At 38.5% G+C, this 15,705-nt stretch overlaps 1 protein-coding gene across 16 annotated transcripts in view; it reads left to right on the forward strand.

Moving 5' to 3' along the window:
* The window catches only part of CDKAL1 (CDKAL1 threonylcarbamoyladenosine tRNA methylthiotransferase), a 697,948-nt gene that overhangs the window by 561,208 nt on the left and 121,035 nt on the right, over positions 1-15,705 (forward strand). For 11 of the 16 annotated variants that reach the window (XM_047418949.1, NM_017774.3, XM_047418947.1 and 8 more), the window contains one exon: positions 12,737-12,799. The exons of the other annotated variants lie outside the window; for them this stretch is intronic. In XM_047418949.1, coding sequence (XP_047274905.1) covers positions 12,737-12,799 — 63 coding nt within the window. The remainder of the gene's footprint in view (positions 1-12,736; positions 12,800-15,705) is intronic. 16 annotated transcript variants of the gene reach the window in all.

The raw sequence follows: 15,705 nt of genomic DNA on the forward strand, positions 1-15,705 counted from the left end.
TCATCCACTGGCTATCTCTGTGTAGTATCCCTTGCTCTACAACATAAAAAAGAAAATCAACTGATTTCTGAAGTGACATAAAGACGAGAGAATGGAGAAGATTGAGCTGTATATTAAATTGCTTTCTGGTTATCAAATAAAGACTCCTTTGTCATAAAGGCCAAAGATAAAAAAGAAAATGTGTATGTTTAATATATGGAACAAAAATAAGTCTATTTTTGACATAGTACTTGAGGAGAAGATGGGTCAAAAAGCCCAGCCACCCCTGAAATGAATTTTAGACTCTTATTATTGGTATGATGGGGCAGAGAGAGATATCAGTGATGGTTGCATTGCTGATAGAAATGATTTTTTACAGTAGGTGCTAAATTAGATGTAGAAAGGAGAGTTATCAAACCTACATTGTCATGTCTGACCTTCCAGGTCCCAGTCGAGGAATCATCATAAAAACGAGTTGTGGGCTTATCTAGAGATGCAGCAATAACTGGCACAGAACAATTTTCGAGCTTCTCTTCAAATGGGGTGACACCAGGGGTTATTCGGGGTAGGGAGGGAGATGCATTGGCTTTGATCAGTTTTTAGAACTGTATAGCAGCTTATCTGTGGGTCAGAGAAATTTCGTTTTCTCCATTCTTTTTTCATCACTTTTTCCCTTGGGTGCGATGTGGATTAGCGTCTGGAAGCTGGTATGAGGCTCTGAGCATTAATAGAGTTTGCGCAGATCCAGACTCTGTTTTCGCAATACTGGGCTCAAGCTCAGCCTCGCTGAATGTTAGATTCAGTAAAGGCACATTACCATCTCTCCATAAATAAAAGGAAGAGAAATACTTAATGACAATGTAGAAATACATAGAACTCCAGGATACTAATTAGCAAAACTCACACTGCATTTATTTTATCCAGTTGCACAGTGTTACTCTCTCATAGTTATGTCTCTAACATAACTTCCTTTTTTAACTTTTTGTTTAATTATATTGCCTGTCTTTAAGAAAATAATTTATAGGTATCAGGCATTATTATTAAGCAAATGGTAAAAAATAAATAAATAAATAAAACCACTTGCTGTCACCCTTCCTAATTTTAAAAAATTTATAACATAGCAGAACTTTTAAAACAAAAATAAAAACAGTGTAGTACATAGACAGCAGCGAGTTTGTTGCCCCACACTATCTGCTAGGTTTTGAGGATGGGACAGACTTTGAGAGTTTTAGCACTGTAACTGCTAATTTTTCTAAAATAGCAGTGTGAGAATAGTTATCTTGTCATATGTTAAAGGAACATTTTAAATTTTAGAAATAACTGAAACTTCTTCATGCATTGGTAATATTTATATCAAGAATGTATCTAGAAATACTAAAATTATTGGAAAGTAAAATTCAGCAAGACTTGGATTAAGCCCTATTTGCTTTGCTTTATCAAACAGTTTAGATTCAGGGTATTCAAAGGGGCAGGGAGGACATTGATGGGGACACAGTATTTATTCTTGTAGTCTCAGGTATTTGGGTATAAAACCTAGTGTCTTCAGCCAGGTGTGGTGGTTCACACCTGTAGTGCTAGCACTTTGGGAGGCTGAGGCTGTTGGATTACCTGAGGTCAGGAGTTCAAGACCAGCCTGACCAACAGGGTGAAACCCCGTCTCTACTAAAAATACAAAAATAAGCTGGGTGTGGTGGCAGGCACCTGTAGCCCCAGCTACTTTGGAGGCTGACAGGAGAATTGCTTGAACCTGGGAGGCAGAGGTTGCAGTGAGCTGAGAGTGTGCCACTGCACTTCAGCCTGGTCGACAGAGCAAGACTCCGTCTCAAAAAACAAAAAAAAGAAACAAATACAAAAAAAAAAAAACCTAGTGCCTAATATATGTATATATGGACAGCAAATCAGTTGTCTGGCTACATTCTGGACTGCAATTAATTGTTTATTTACTTTTCTTAAGGTAAGGGTTAACCGTGCTATATAGCTGTTGATTTTTTCCTTTCCTAATATTTTTCTCTCAACAAAAGATACTAAATGCTGTCATTCCCCCGTTCTCTATGGAACTTGTCATTGGAGAAAGGAGCAATCTTTATGAGAGTGCAAACATACTAAAAAGAAATTCATGCCTCGAATATAAATTGACTCAAAGCAAAATCCCTGGGAAACATGTTTCAAATTCTGGAATTTTTACAATGATTGTCTTGAAGTACTATTTATAGTTACAAAAGTAATAATTCCATCCAGCACAAAAATTTGCATTTGAGTTAGTAATCTGGTAAGCACTGTTAATACCAAATGTCAATATTCAGAATTTTTGGAATTAATTCAACAAACATTTATGCACTTACTGTGTGCCTGGTTGCTTGGTTAAGTAATTATTTCTTCCCACTAGTTTGAAAGCTCTATTGAGTTCAGTGGCCTCATCCAGCTTTCTTTCTGTCTCACTAGTATGGTGCCTGCACAATGGGCACACAGTAAATGTGTCGAATGAATATGTCATTCAATTAATCACCTAAGTTTTAGAGCTCGGCGAATGGATTTTAGATATAAAGGATGAGAATGGAAACAGAAACTGGTTGGGAGGCTCTGATGAGGAATAGAAACAGCAATTGAATATCTACTTACAGAGGAATGACCAAGTAGTGCTGAGGTGGCCTAAGTCCCCAGGTGCTCAGGGATCAAGTGATTTAACTATATAAGGTGAGCGTGGGAGACTGTAGGGGGAATGAAGGACAAAGCAATGTGGAAGCTCAGGTTACTGACAAGAAATAGATTGAAGTGTTGTGTCATGAATTTAGAGCCTGGAGGGAAAAGGTGACCTGAATGGATAGTTTGAAGAACTAGAAGTTTCAATGAAGGTAAAACTGAAATGTTATGAGGTTAAACGGGTACACAGCTTTTTTTTTTTTTTTTTTTTTTTTGGCCGTCACCCATGTGCAAGGCATTTGAATAAAGTGTTACTGAAGGAAGGGATGCTATCCAGATGACCAAGACATGGTTTCTTTCTTCAAGGTGGAGTTGACTCACCATGAAAGTGGTAAAGAGATCTCTGGAAGCACATAGTTGAGTGGGTTCTTTCTGTTTGGGAGGATCCTGCATGGAAGAGGTGATCTTTGAATAGGGCTCTTTGGAAGGAATTTAATACATGGAGATGGTGGCGGAGGCATTCCAGGCAGAGAGAGTAGCATTAGCAAGATGTAGAGTCAGAAAAATGCAGGCTCTCTAAGGAACAAGACACTGCCTTTGGTGTTAGCTGGAAAAGTGGGACAAGCTTTAATGCAGTACTTGAAATTTGATTCCCTGAGCAGTAGGGAGTCCTAAATAGAAGAGTGCCATTAGTTGACCATGCATTATGAAGCTTACTCTGGCCTCAGTAAAGGGGGATTAAGCAAAGGTTCTAAACTGTGGCTTCACATTCTCATCACCTGGAGAAATTTTTAAAACCCCAACTCCTGGGCTGCACCCTGTATCAATTAGAATATCTGGCACTGGAACCCACACCTCAGTATTATTTAAATCCCCAGGTGATTCCAATTTGCAGCCAGGATTGCAAACCAACGGTTTAGAGCAAGGGTTAGTAAACTCTAAAAAGGGGCCACATAGTAAATATTTTCAGCTTTATAGGCCATACATTTTCTATTGCAGCCATTCAACTTTGCCATCATAGCAGAAAAGCAACCGTGGACAATGTTAATAAAGGAATGAGCACGGCTGTGTTCCAATAAAACTTTATATATATAAATTTGAATTTTATATAATTTTTACATGCCACAAATATTCTTGTGCTTTTTATTTTTCTTTTTCCAGCCATTTTTAAATGTACAAACAAATCACAGACTACACAAAAGGCAGCCAGCAGTATTTGGCCCACAGGTCATATTTTGCCAACCATTGATTTCGAGGGTGAAGATTGGACACAGGTAGTCCAGGAAAGAAAACAATAATAATCCAGATAAGAGGTAAAGTTAACTATTGTGGTCAGTTAGAAGGGCAGAGTGAAGGTTAGTGATATTGAGTTGATATTTATAGCAACTCGTGTTCTTATGGGCTACTTTTGAGCACCCAGAAGTTGTCATACAAAGGACGTTTGAATGAACCATTGTGCGGTATGTGGTGTACTTAGTGCCCTTTGACTTTGTCTTTTTATTTTGCAGGGATTTGACCTATGTCGTAAGACTGTTTCTGGCCTAACTGCTAGTAAAGGCTAATCATTTTGGCAACACTTATTACTGCAAATTAGTTAAGTCTCTTGCCTTCCTTATGTGCTAGCCTTGCCTTTGTTACCAAATAATGACCTTTCCTTGCAAAGAAATGTTCTCTTTAGAAAATAAAGTGAGCTTGATAGGAGAAGGTATGGCAACCTACATTTTATCACACATCACTGAATTAACACAGAATTTTCTATTTGCATTTTCTTCAGCATTTGTTGCCTAAAGACCTGCCAGGATAAATGGTGCCTGCTCCTCTACCACCCCCACTCTCTGTCCCCTGTGAAAATGAGAGGCTGATGGTTGCAACTTCCTTCCTCTAAGGTTATTTTAGAAACCGTAAGGCTGAAAAAAAAAAAGTATTTCCCACTGATATCTACTGTGATTTAAAATCAGCTGTACATTTCCACATTTGCTTGGTTATTTTATTTGAATATCATTACAGTTGGGTGAACAAATTCACTTACCTATTTTCTAACTTCCACTCTTAGAGAAGTCTGCTGTTTTGGTGTCCTCTAAGAAATGCTTACTCTTTGCCTCCAGCACTTGGGTATGTGAGAAACTGAAGACCCTGATAACTTTCCTTGAATCTGCTGTAAATGGATGGAGAGAAAGAAGTTCAAGACAACAGTCAAAAGCATTTATGGTCATCTTAGTTATTTTGCAGACCTAACTAGAGAGTAGGGGGTGAAAAAATATATGGAATAGAGCCACAGCCTTCTTTTTCTTTGTTTTCCCTGCCACCCTCACAATAATTTCTCACAAAAGAATAAGGAAGTATTATATGTGCCTTATGAAGGAAAAGCATTTGAGATTTTGAAGAGTTTGCCTGTTTCCCTGTATATTTTGGGGTATTTTTTTTATCACTAACTGTATTTCACATCATTGATGTTATAATTGATTTCTAAAACTTGAGGTTCATGGTTTAAATTCCAGGGACTTTTTTTCCCTTCTTCTCATTGATCTTAAATGAGTATTATCATCTTAGGGACACTATCAAAATATGTATAATATAAAGTGAGATTGTGATTGAGCGCTGATATTGTCAAGTGCTTTTAATTAAGCTTCTGATGCTTTACACATTGATAACACAGTAAAGAGTCCAGTGTATTAAGTTAGCTTTCCATTTATTTTTCAGAAGCACTTACCAGGTAGGGGACTAAATATACAGCAGCAGGTTGTACTGCAGCCACAGCCTTACTGTGCCCCAGAGGAATTCTTGCATAGAGAGTCCATTCTTTTATGGAAAGGAAGAGGTCAAGAAATAAGGCAAAGCTGCAGGCATAATACAGAGATTAAAATGACTGATAGAATTGAGAACACAGAATGGCAGTAGCTGAAAGACAGTAGGGAACCGATCCAGAATCATAGAGGCTAACAGTTGGAAGAGACCTTTGGGATCGTCTTGACTAGTGTTTCTCATCTTTGGCCACACGTTGGAAATACCCGAGAGCTTTTAAATAATACACTTTTGTCCAGGCCCCAGAAGACCAATTAAGTCAGAGTCACTGGGGATTAGGATTGAAGCTTTGGTATATTTTAAAGATTCGCTAATAGTTCTAACCTGCAACAAGGATTGAGAAGCAGTGGCCAAATCTAGCGTCTTCATTTTATATAGGAGGTACAAAGCAGATACATGGCCCAAGACCAAACAGCTATTGTTTGCTAGGATTTTAACCTCAATCTTCTTATCTTCTTGCCTCCCTCACTCTACATTCTCCCTGTGTGATCCCATCCCTGTCCTGCTTTAAATTACACCAATATGCTCATGAGTCCCAAGTCCTTTACATGTAACTTCCTTCTTAATTTCTCTCCAAATGTCTCACATCTTCCTCAAATTCCCTATATTCAGAACTGAATTATCCTTTTTTCCCCCAGTCTCCAAAACCAGTCTCAGTCTCTAGACTGAGTGAAGGGTACTTCTGTCAGTGAAGGGTACTTCTCCTGTTTGGTTATCTGTGCCAGCAGCCTGGGAGTCCTCTTCAGCTCTTCCCTCTCTGTACTCCTATCTAATCAGTTACCAAGAGCTGTCTATCCTACCTCCCAGCTGTTAATCAGATCTGTCCCACCTTCTCCCCTTGCCCCTAGCTTAATTTAAGGTGTTATTTTTTTTCTGAGTGATTTTGCAACAGCTTCTCATACTGTCTTCAGCTTCTTGCCTTTGTCCCACTTGAGCTTTATCTTTAACACCATTAGGAAGCTCTTTCTGAAGCACAAATTTGATCATTCGTCACTGTATTTTTTCCATTATGTGTTCTAATCATTTAGCCTTTCTTCAGCCCAACTAGGACTCCCTTTTCTCTCTGTCTCCATGTACCTATATTCAGTCTACTTCCTTATAGTCTATAAAAGCATAATCTATCTGTGGAGTCAGTTCTTTTACCGTGCTTTTATCAAACACTGAACTCTCCCATCAGAAATAACATTTTCCTTCTTCAACCAAATGCTGTCACATTGCTGACTGAATTTAATGGGCCTAGCGTTGCCTACACCCTCATTTTGGAACCCACCCCCGCAGGAAGTTCCCAAGGTAAACATCAGACCTGCCTTAGCGTCGTCCACATCCTTGGTAGTTAACACCTTCACTTACTCAGTGTTTACTGGCTTCTTCATTTCCTATCCCTGACTTCAGTGTCCCTTATTGCATCTTAGTAAGCCCTTGTTCTCTGCGTGACTCTCCCAGTTCCTAACTAGTTCTTCACCAACGACCCCTTGACTCTCAGTCATTTGTTGTTTTCATCTTGCACCTCTTGGCTCTTTCGGCCCTTTTGCCTTAGGATGTAGTTTTCTAACTTCTACTGAGTGTCTGTTTCTGTCGTGTAAACCAGTCCTGGAGCCCTAGCGTGTATTACCTGGAATTGCACTCCAGTCTCTTTTGGAATTTTTTTTGGGCATAACTCTTGGTCGCCATTAGACCACCATTGCATTTTTGCCTCAGGCACTCCTGCGTGACTCTATTCTGAACCTGATTGTCCAGTTCGTGAGTTGCCTTGGCTCCTTATCTTTTCCTCCTACCTTTCTGCTTCCTGCCAGTTGACAGGCTAACTACTTAGGCTCTCTACCAGAAAGGGAGCAGGAAAAATGCAGCATGCTGAAATGCAAACCCGCTCTTTTGGCTTCTTACCACGAAGTATGATGAAGGCTTGCAGAACATTTAAATTGTATTGTAGTATACCTTAAACATATCAAACCCTTTGAAAACTTGTAGGCTTTATCATTTTTAAGAATCCGTATGTAGAAATGAAGTCCATAGTCTTATTATAGCTTTTCCTTATAATAACACCATTTTATTTGGGAAAACTTTAATCAACAACTTAGAGAATGGGTACAGAAAGGATTGAATTGGCTTGGGGAACCAAAAGAAATTAAGTTCGTGGATGCTGCTAAAATTTGATTGGTTGTATAACCTCACATTCAGAATACAAGCTGTTATTACATGCGGGGCCTCTTTCAGAACTGAGCTCTGTTGCATATCTTTGACAAAAATTGGAATGATTACATTGTCTGGAAACCTGAACTGTTAAAAATACTCTCTTGGGGTCTTTAGTTTTGTTTGGTTTTGTCTGAAAAGGAGTTTAAACTTGAGTATAAGAAAAAAAAAAAAGGTCATCAGTGTTTTCTGTCCTTGGAGAGTGGAATATAAAAGCAATTTATGAAGTGCCTGTAAGATGAAGATTACAGAGGTTCAGATTCTCGGGAATCTAGAAGTTTTACCAAACATGCATACTGCCTCATTTTTTAAACCCACGGCAGCCCGCAAAAAATGCAGGACGCAGCATGTAATTACTTTTAAATATCCTCTCATCTCTGTGGCCTGTACTTTGGGATTAATGATGAAGGTAACTTGAAGGTACCTTGTACAATTTGGGGAAAAATATTTGCCATACTCACTGTACTCTGGCCACCCTTGTTACAAGTCCATCACACAACTTGTTTAACATGTTTACTTTTTAAATGCTTGGAGAGCTAACAGGTGGTTGCATGACTGAGATGTTTGTTTTAACAGGCTAAAAACTGGGAGGTAATTTAGACATACACTATGATGCAATAGGAAAATACCTAATTATTCCATTTTTGGCTCAGCTTTTCGTTTCAGTTAAAACTGTTGATAGCAAGGCTCGACAGGTTTTGTAGAGTAGTTCTCTTAACATTGCCTACATAGGAGAAACTGGCTCACTAGTAATAATGGCCGTGTTTTAGTTACTTGTATAAGAAACTTACTTGGCTTTAGTGCTAGAACTTAGTAAAGGATTTCTTCTCAGAGCTTCTGTCATCAGCAGTTACAGTGTGAATACAGACGGCTCTGAAAGCCCCATATCTATTTCAGCATGCTCTAGAAAGCCACTTGGAATATTTTTTGCCTGTACATAGAAGCACTGAGGAAATATCCTGAAAACAAGACAGCTAATTGTTATTATGCTTGGTACGTTCATCCCAATGTTTCAGTATATAGGTTATGATTGGCTCTTGGAACTGTCCATTGAGCAAATAGAAGGAGCCAGGAATTTTGCAGGATAGTTAGTTGTTCATGTGGTTTGGAGTTAAGGGACTACTGCCGGAAGTAGACATAGTCAGGGATAGAGTTTCTAGATCGGGGTGGTTACCTTTCTCTATAAAGGGCCAGATAGTAAATACTTTAGGATTTGTGGCTGTATTTCAGTAAAACTTTATTTAAAAAAAAAAAACAACAGGCAGTGGGTCAGATTGGCTATGGGGCCATAGTTTGCCAACCCCTGTTCTGGATTCCAGAAGATACTCCACTGGATTGTGTGACTGATCTCAGAGGGAAGAATAGCAGTGGTTTTCAGTTAACTGGGCAGATACCTATAACCTTCAATATGCCAAGACTTCACAGTATTTGTATATAATAAATTTGTTGTCAGAAAAGGCATTGTTTCTTTACTGGTTCTTTGGGGCTAATATGAATAGTGTTACTTAGTTATACTCCATTTCTTTCCCAAAATCGAGATAATTAGGATAAAAAGCACATATAAGTGTTAGCTATCAAAGTAAAATCAAAACCTACATTAAGTCACACAAAACAACTTCTGAATATTCCTTTTCCACCTGCCAATGCAAGCTGGTCGCTCAGCCATTTCTGATAAGCCTCAGTTCTTGGGGCATCTCCTAAGTTTAATACTGATATGCTACCTATTTTATTTTATCTAGCATAATTTCCTTTCTAAAAATATTTTCCCCAGTGTTTTATATCAAGACTCCTAACAAAGGAAGTGTTAGCATCCGTCATTTTTCTTCTGATTGAAGTATAAGCCAAGAACTGTTTCACCGAATAAGTGGGTATATGGGAAGAAAAGAAAAAATTATAAGCTAATGAAATTTTGATGGGCAAATGACCTGTTCAAAGCAGATTCCAAGGCTCACAGAGCTAACATTTCATTAGCCACAGGAACTGTTTCCAATCATCTTACTGATACATCTTTGCTCTCCAGGGGAAGGGAGTGTTAAATTACTTTAGAATTTGATGGTCAGAAGCACTGCTCAGAGGCGGAGAGAGGAGGCAGGAATTTTGGCTGATCTGTAGGAGAGGACTTTTCAGTGGGTGTCAGAAGGTAGCAACAAGGCCAAGTGATTTGAACCACTGCCACTGGAATTGTGACTTCAAAGACAGCTCTGAAATAGGGAAACTGATCTACAAGGAAACGATGAGTGTGTACAAATGATTTTATTTACAAGGTCCTTATTAATATCAGGTCCAACTGCTTAACTAAGGAGATGCAGAAGATTATGTAGAGCTAGGCGGGGGTATGCGGCATTGGGGAGGTATGATAGCTGTGTCCTTGAGGACACTGGAGGAGGTAGAAGATACTTCCCTAGAACACGGGATACCAGTCAAGGATTCATCACAAGTGAAGACAGAAGCAGTCTCCTGGCAGTTGGAATAACATCAGAATAGAAACAGAAGCAAGACAGGGGCAGTGTTAGGGACAAACAGACCACCTGTGTCACAGAATTTTAAGATGTGGTCGTGGGCTAACCTATGATGGACAAGAAATAAATTATATTATTGCCAACTGGGAAAATGTTCAATATCTGTTCTAAAAACATTGATTACCTCTGTAAATTTAGAAACATTCTAACCTTTAAATAGAAGAGAGAAATTCTTAAGAATTACCAACTTAAGCTGAGATCCCTTCTCTCATTCACTCTTGCTGAGGGGACAAATTGATGCAATATTTGTGAGGAGGAGGCAGTTTGACTTTACCTGTTAAGGTAATAAATGTGTGTACTGTCTGATCCTGAAACTGGACTTCCATAATTTATTATTTTTAAATACAGTCAGGCTGGCAAAGATGTTTGTGCAAAGAATATGATTATATTAAAAAATTGAAATGAATTACAGAAAAGTTTGCATTTGTAAAGTTTTCAGATGTCAAAAACTTTGAAAAACTCCCTTTAGGGAATTGCTGATCTGTATGTACAACCAAGGAAGTTTTGCGAGGACAAACTGTGTAGTGGAAAAAGTAAATTTCCGAACAATATATAGTCTTCCTTCCATAACTGCAAGTTCTACATCTGCAGATTCAACAAACAGGGCATCAAAAATATTTAGAAAAATAAAAAATAACAGCCAGGCTTGGTGTCTCACGCCTGTAATCCCAGCTAGGAGGCTGAGGCAAAAGGATCACTTGGGCCCAGGAGCCCAAGGCTGCAGTGAGCGATGATTGTGCCACTGTACTGCAGCCTGGGCCACAGGGTGAGATCCTGTCCCTAAGTAATAATAACAAGAGTACAATTTAAAATAATACACATAAAAATACAGTGTAACAACTATTTACATAGTATTTATATTGTATTAGATATTCTAAGCAATCTGGAGATGACTTAAAGCATACGGGAGGATGTGTATAGGTTATATGCGAATTCTGCACTATTTGACATAAGGAACTTGAGCATCAGCGGATTTTGGTATCTACGGGGAGTACTAAGGGACAGCTGTACATAGAATGACCTCTTTTCTTTGAAAGTAGTAATCAATGTTTGTGTTTGTGTGTGTGCGTAGAAGATTTGGACCCATACACAAATTGCTTATGGTGGTTATGGGGCAGGGATCACAGTGGATGAGGAGAAAGCCACTTTTTTTTTTTTTTTTTTTGAGATGGAGTCTCGCTTTTTCGCCCAGGCTGGAGCTGCAGTGCAGTGGCACTATCTCGGCTCACTGCAAGCTCCGCCTCCCGGGTTCACGCCATTCTCCTGCCTCAGCCTCCCAAGTAGCTGGGACTACAGGCACCCGCCACCGTGCCCGGCTAATTTTTTGTGTTTTTAGTAGAGACGGGGTTTTACCGTGTTAGCCAGGATGGTCTCGATCTCCTGACCTTGTGATCCGCCCACTTCGGCCTCCCAGAGTGCTGGGATTACAGGCGTGAGCCACCGTGCCCGGCCAAAAAAGCCACTTTTATATTAACTAGTTGGCTGTAATAAGAGAACCTCATACTTCTTGGTTGTCACAGATACACTAAGGAGCAGGGGATGGAGAGGGGACTCATGTAATGCCTGGGTTCAGCTCAAGAACACGTCATTAGAAATGAAAAGAGCGTTCTCTTTCTTTTTTCTTTCTTTCTTTTGTTTTGTTTTGTTTATTGAAATGGAGTCTCCCTCTGTTGCCCAGGCTGGAGTGCAGTGGTACAATCTTGGCTCACTGCAACCTCTGCCTCCCAGGTTCAAGTAATTCTCCTGCCTCAGCTTCCTGAGTAGCTCAGATTACAGGTGTCCACCACCACACCCAGCTAATTTTTTTTTGTATTTTTAGTAGAGACTGGGTTTCTCCATTTTGGCCAAGCTGGTCTCGAACTCCTGGCCTCAAGTGATATACCTGCCTCGGCCTCCCAAAATGCTGGGATTACAAGCATGAGCCACCATGCTCGGCCAAAAGAGCCTTCTCTTCATAACTAATCTATGAGGCTTATGTGTCATCATTACAGATATTAAGAGTTATATGCCTGTATAACTCATACATTCATTTATTCATTAACTTAGCCAGTATTTATTGAGTGCCTGCTGTGTGTAAAACACCATGCAGGGTACCTAGGCTATATAGCAGTGACACAGTAAAGGTATCCTCATAGCTGCAAGCTCCAGCAGACAGACCCAAGCTGTAACCAGGAAGCCTGAAGGAGGTGTATCGTTTAAATGAATGCATGTCTGTGCCCAATTCTGAGTAACAGCAGTTGGTATTACAATGAAATCGGAAGTGCCCTGTGTATTAAATTTTCTTTCGTTTTCAGTGTTTTCTTCATTTTAGTCTGTTATGTATTTTCAAATACAGTTTTTGATGATGATTAGTGTTTTAGTTATGAAATCTTCTAGGAAGAGGTCACCTGGTTGCTCTGTGATAATGACCCACATAACCATAAAGTGACTTTGGTTTTTAGTTGCACCCCTGTGTCTTCTCAGCCTCCACAAAGGAAGAATCTCTTAAAAAAAAAAAAAAAAAACTTTATGTATGTAGAGATATATACACACATGTATATTTTTTATCTGCTGTCAACTCAATTGTTTGTATGTTGGTTTTTTGTTTTTTTTGTTTTTTTTCACAGAAAAAGCAAAGGACAAAAGATCTTTCTCGGGTGTTTCATTCTTACAGTCCATATGATCACAAGGTAAGAGAAGCATGTTAATAGCATATTAAGTATTAAAGTCTTTCCGAATGTATAGTACAATTTTCACCAACATATGGTGATTCTGAAATACACTTACCAATTACATTTATATTTCAATTTAAATTTTTTAGCTCTTTATCCCTTTTAAAGAAAACAGAAATGTTATATTTCTGAACTATAATAATTATATTTTATTCACATTGAAATCTAGTTACATATTGGCACTGAAATCTCAAAGACAGTGAAAAGACACATTTTGGGGTGTATTTTGGTTGGTTGGTTTTTGTTTTTTCTTTCCAAACACTGTACTGGAGGAACTTGGGTTTTGGATTGGTAAAGATAATTGAAATGCTGACTGCAAAACTTGATTCTTCATTCCTCCTGATAGAAAGTTATTTTTCTAAATGAAAATCCTAATAAAAATTAGTACATAGCATCATGTCTGAAATATCTACTGCCTGGAGCTTTGCTACACAGAAAATGACCAAATAACGTGACGACCCACATGTACCCATCCCACAGCTTCATAGATTCATAGTCCGTCTGTGTCATTTATACCCTACCTTCTCCATCCCTCATGTTTGAAAAATTCCTAGACATCTTTTCACTTGTAAGTATTTTACAATATATTTGTAAAAGATAAGCACTCTTTTAAAAAGAAAAAATATGTAGCCATTTTTAAGAAAATGCTTAACTCCACATCTTCATGGGGAAATAGATTACAAGGTTTCAGAGACTTGTGCAAAACTTCTAAACCATGTAGGATTCCAGTAAATCTGTTAATTCGAGGTGATTTCAGAAGCAAACAAAAAATTTGCACAGTTGAAATGCTAATATAAACTTAAATCTTTATCTATGAATTTATAGGGAGACATGTGGTAGGGATTTTTTAACTAGCCAAAGTAAGTAGTGTGAAAACTACTTTCCTCAGTTGAAAATACAGAGATGTCTGGATTCAGGAGGGAAAAATTGTGCCAGTTCATAGAAGTTGAAAGAATTTGAAACACTAGCTTCTAGTGTTTCTATAGTGACCAATTGACTTAAGCACCAAAAACTCGTAAAAGAGATGTTTATGCTTCATGTGACCATGGTGATATGTAATACTAAAACTTATATCATTCCAAGTTACATTTTTCAAGCTAAATCAGTCACATTGCAGAATGCAGCAATTTGTTTGAAAGAGATTGAGAGAGCCAATAGGGTCTGACAATGCAGACAGAAGGAGCAGGCTGATAAGTAATACAACAGCAAAAGGAATGAGATTGGCCAGATTTCTGAAGGTAGTGTTGCATTTTTTTTTAGATGAAGCCACTTAATGAACATAAGTGCAGCAGTGGCTAAAGTTAACATTTAACAACAACAACAAAAAAGGCGATGGCAAATCAGAGGTTTTGCCTGGCTTGTCTAAATTTCGCCCACTTGTAACATTTTTAAATTCGCAGTTAAGGGAAATTCCATTCTTCTTTTATTAGAACTCTTAATGGAACCTAGCCATTTGCAGCTTCTACCGGCTTCCTCCTCATATCCTTTGTGGCATTGTATCAAAGTCACCTCAGATTATTTTGGCTTCCCTTCATTCCTCTACAACTTAGTCATCAGGCAGTGAGGAATTGAATCTAAATGCTTGATGGAGTTCCTTTTGATCTTTAAGATTGGTAATAAATTATTGTAAATAGCTAGACTGCTTGATGAGTGCCTTTTGAAGCTCCTAAGTTTTGGTCTGTTGCCATTCTGTTTTATTCTGGATGTACAGTAGTGAAGGAAAATGGAAAAGTTTTATTCCAGGCAGCTCCCGGCCTCCTTAGTAGCCTTTACCTACTTTTCTAAGTTCCATCCAGGCAAATCTATCCATGTTACTTTTAATATTGTCTCTCACTGATTGGAATGTCCACAAAGACTAGAACCATAGGGATAAAGTAACATGCACTATTTTCCCAATCTGAGAATGTTGCTATTTTTCCCCGCATGAATTAATAGAGGGTTGTGTTTAAAGTTATTTTGTCATTTGAATTACCCACTTATATTCAAGCAAATTGGTTTTCTAGGCAGATAGGTTTTAGTGTAAAGTGTTTTACAAGGTGTGGTTAAAGTTGGTTTAGACATCTCATGCTCAGTGAGATTTCTGGCGTGATCCTTATGAAAATATATACATATATTGTCAGTGAAAGCTTTTATGAAATACAACATCAGTTGTTTGGGGTTTGCTTTAATGCAGGCTGGTGTATTGGCTTATGCCGGTAATCCCAGCACTCTGGGAGTCTGAAGCTGGAGGATCACTTGAGCGCAGGAGTTTGAGACCAGCCTGAGCAACATTGTGAAACTCTGTCTCTATTTAAAAAAAATAAAAATTAAAAATTAGCCAGGCATGGTATTGCACACCTGTAGTCCTAGCTACCGGGGACAGGTTTAGGCAGGAGGATCACTTGAGCCCCGGATTTCAAGTTACTGTGAGCTATGACTGCACCATTTTACTTCAGCCTGGGCAACAGAGCAAGACCCCGTCTCTAAAAGAACATTTTTTTTTAAAATAATTTCAAAGAGCAGAGTGGATAGGGTACAATAAAATAAGATTGCCCATGTGTTGGTGATTATCAAAACTAAATGATGTTTGGGGGGTGTTCATTATTTTATTCTGCATTTTTCTATATGATTGAAATGTTTCATAATAGAAAGATACAAAAAGTAAAATAAACTATGGTCTGCTCCTGGGAGTGAATGTTGTGACGGTTTGCCTCTCTAGCTATATTCATTTTAATGTTCATTTTCCCCTTGACGTAAGTTTATGCCAAAAAAAGAATAGTCAGCATTTTAGTGGATTCATCATGCTGAGTAAACTCAGAAATGCAACTCCTATTCTAAACTTGGCAAAATTTCCTTCGGGTTTCATCCCAAATTATAGTGGGTCA

Source organism: Homo sapiens, chromosome 6, assembly GCF_000001405.40.
Source record: "Homo sapiens chromosome 6, GRCh38.p14 Primary Assembly".
Lineage (NCBI taxonomy): Eukaryota > Metazoa > Chordata > Mammalia > Primates > Hominidae > Homo > Homo sapiens.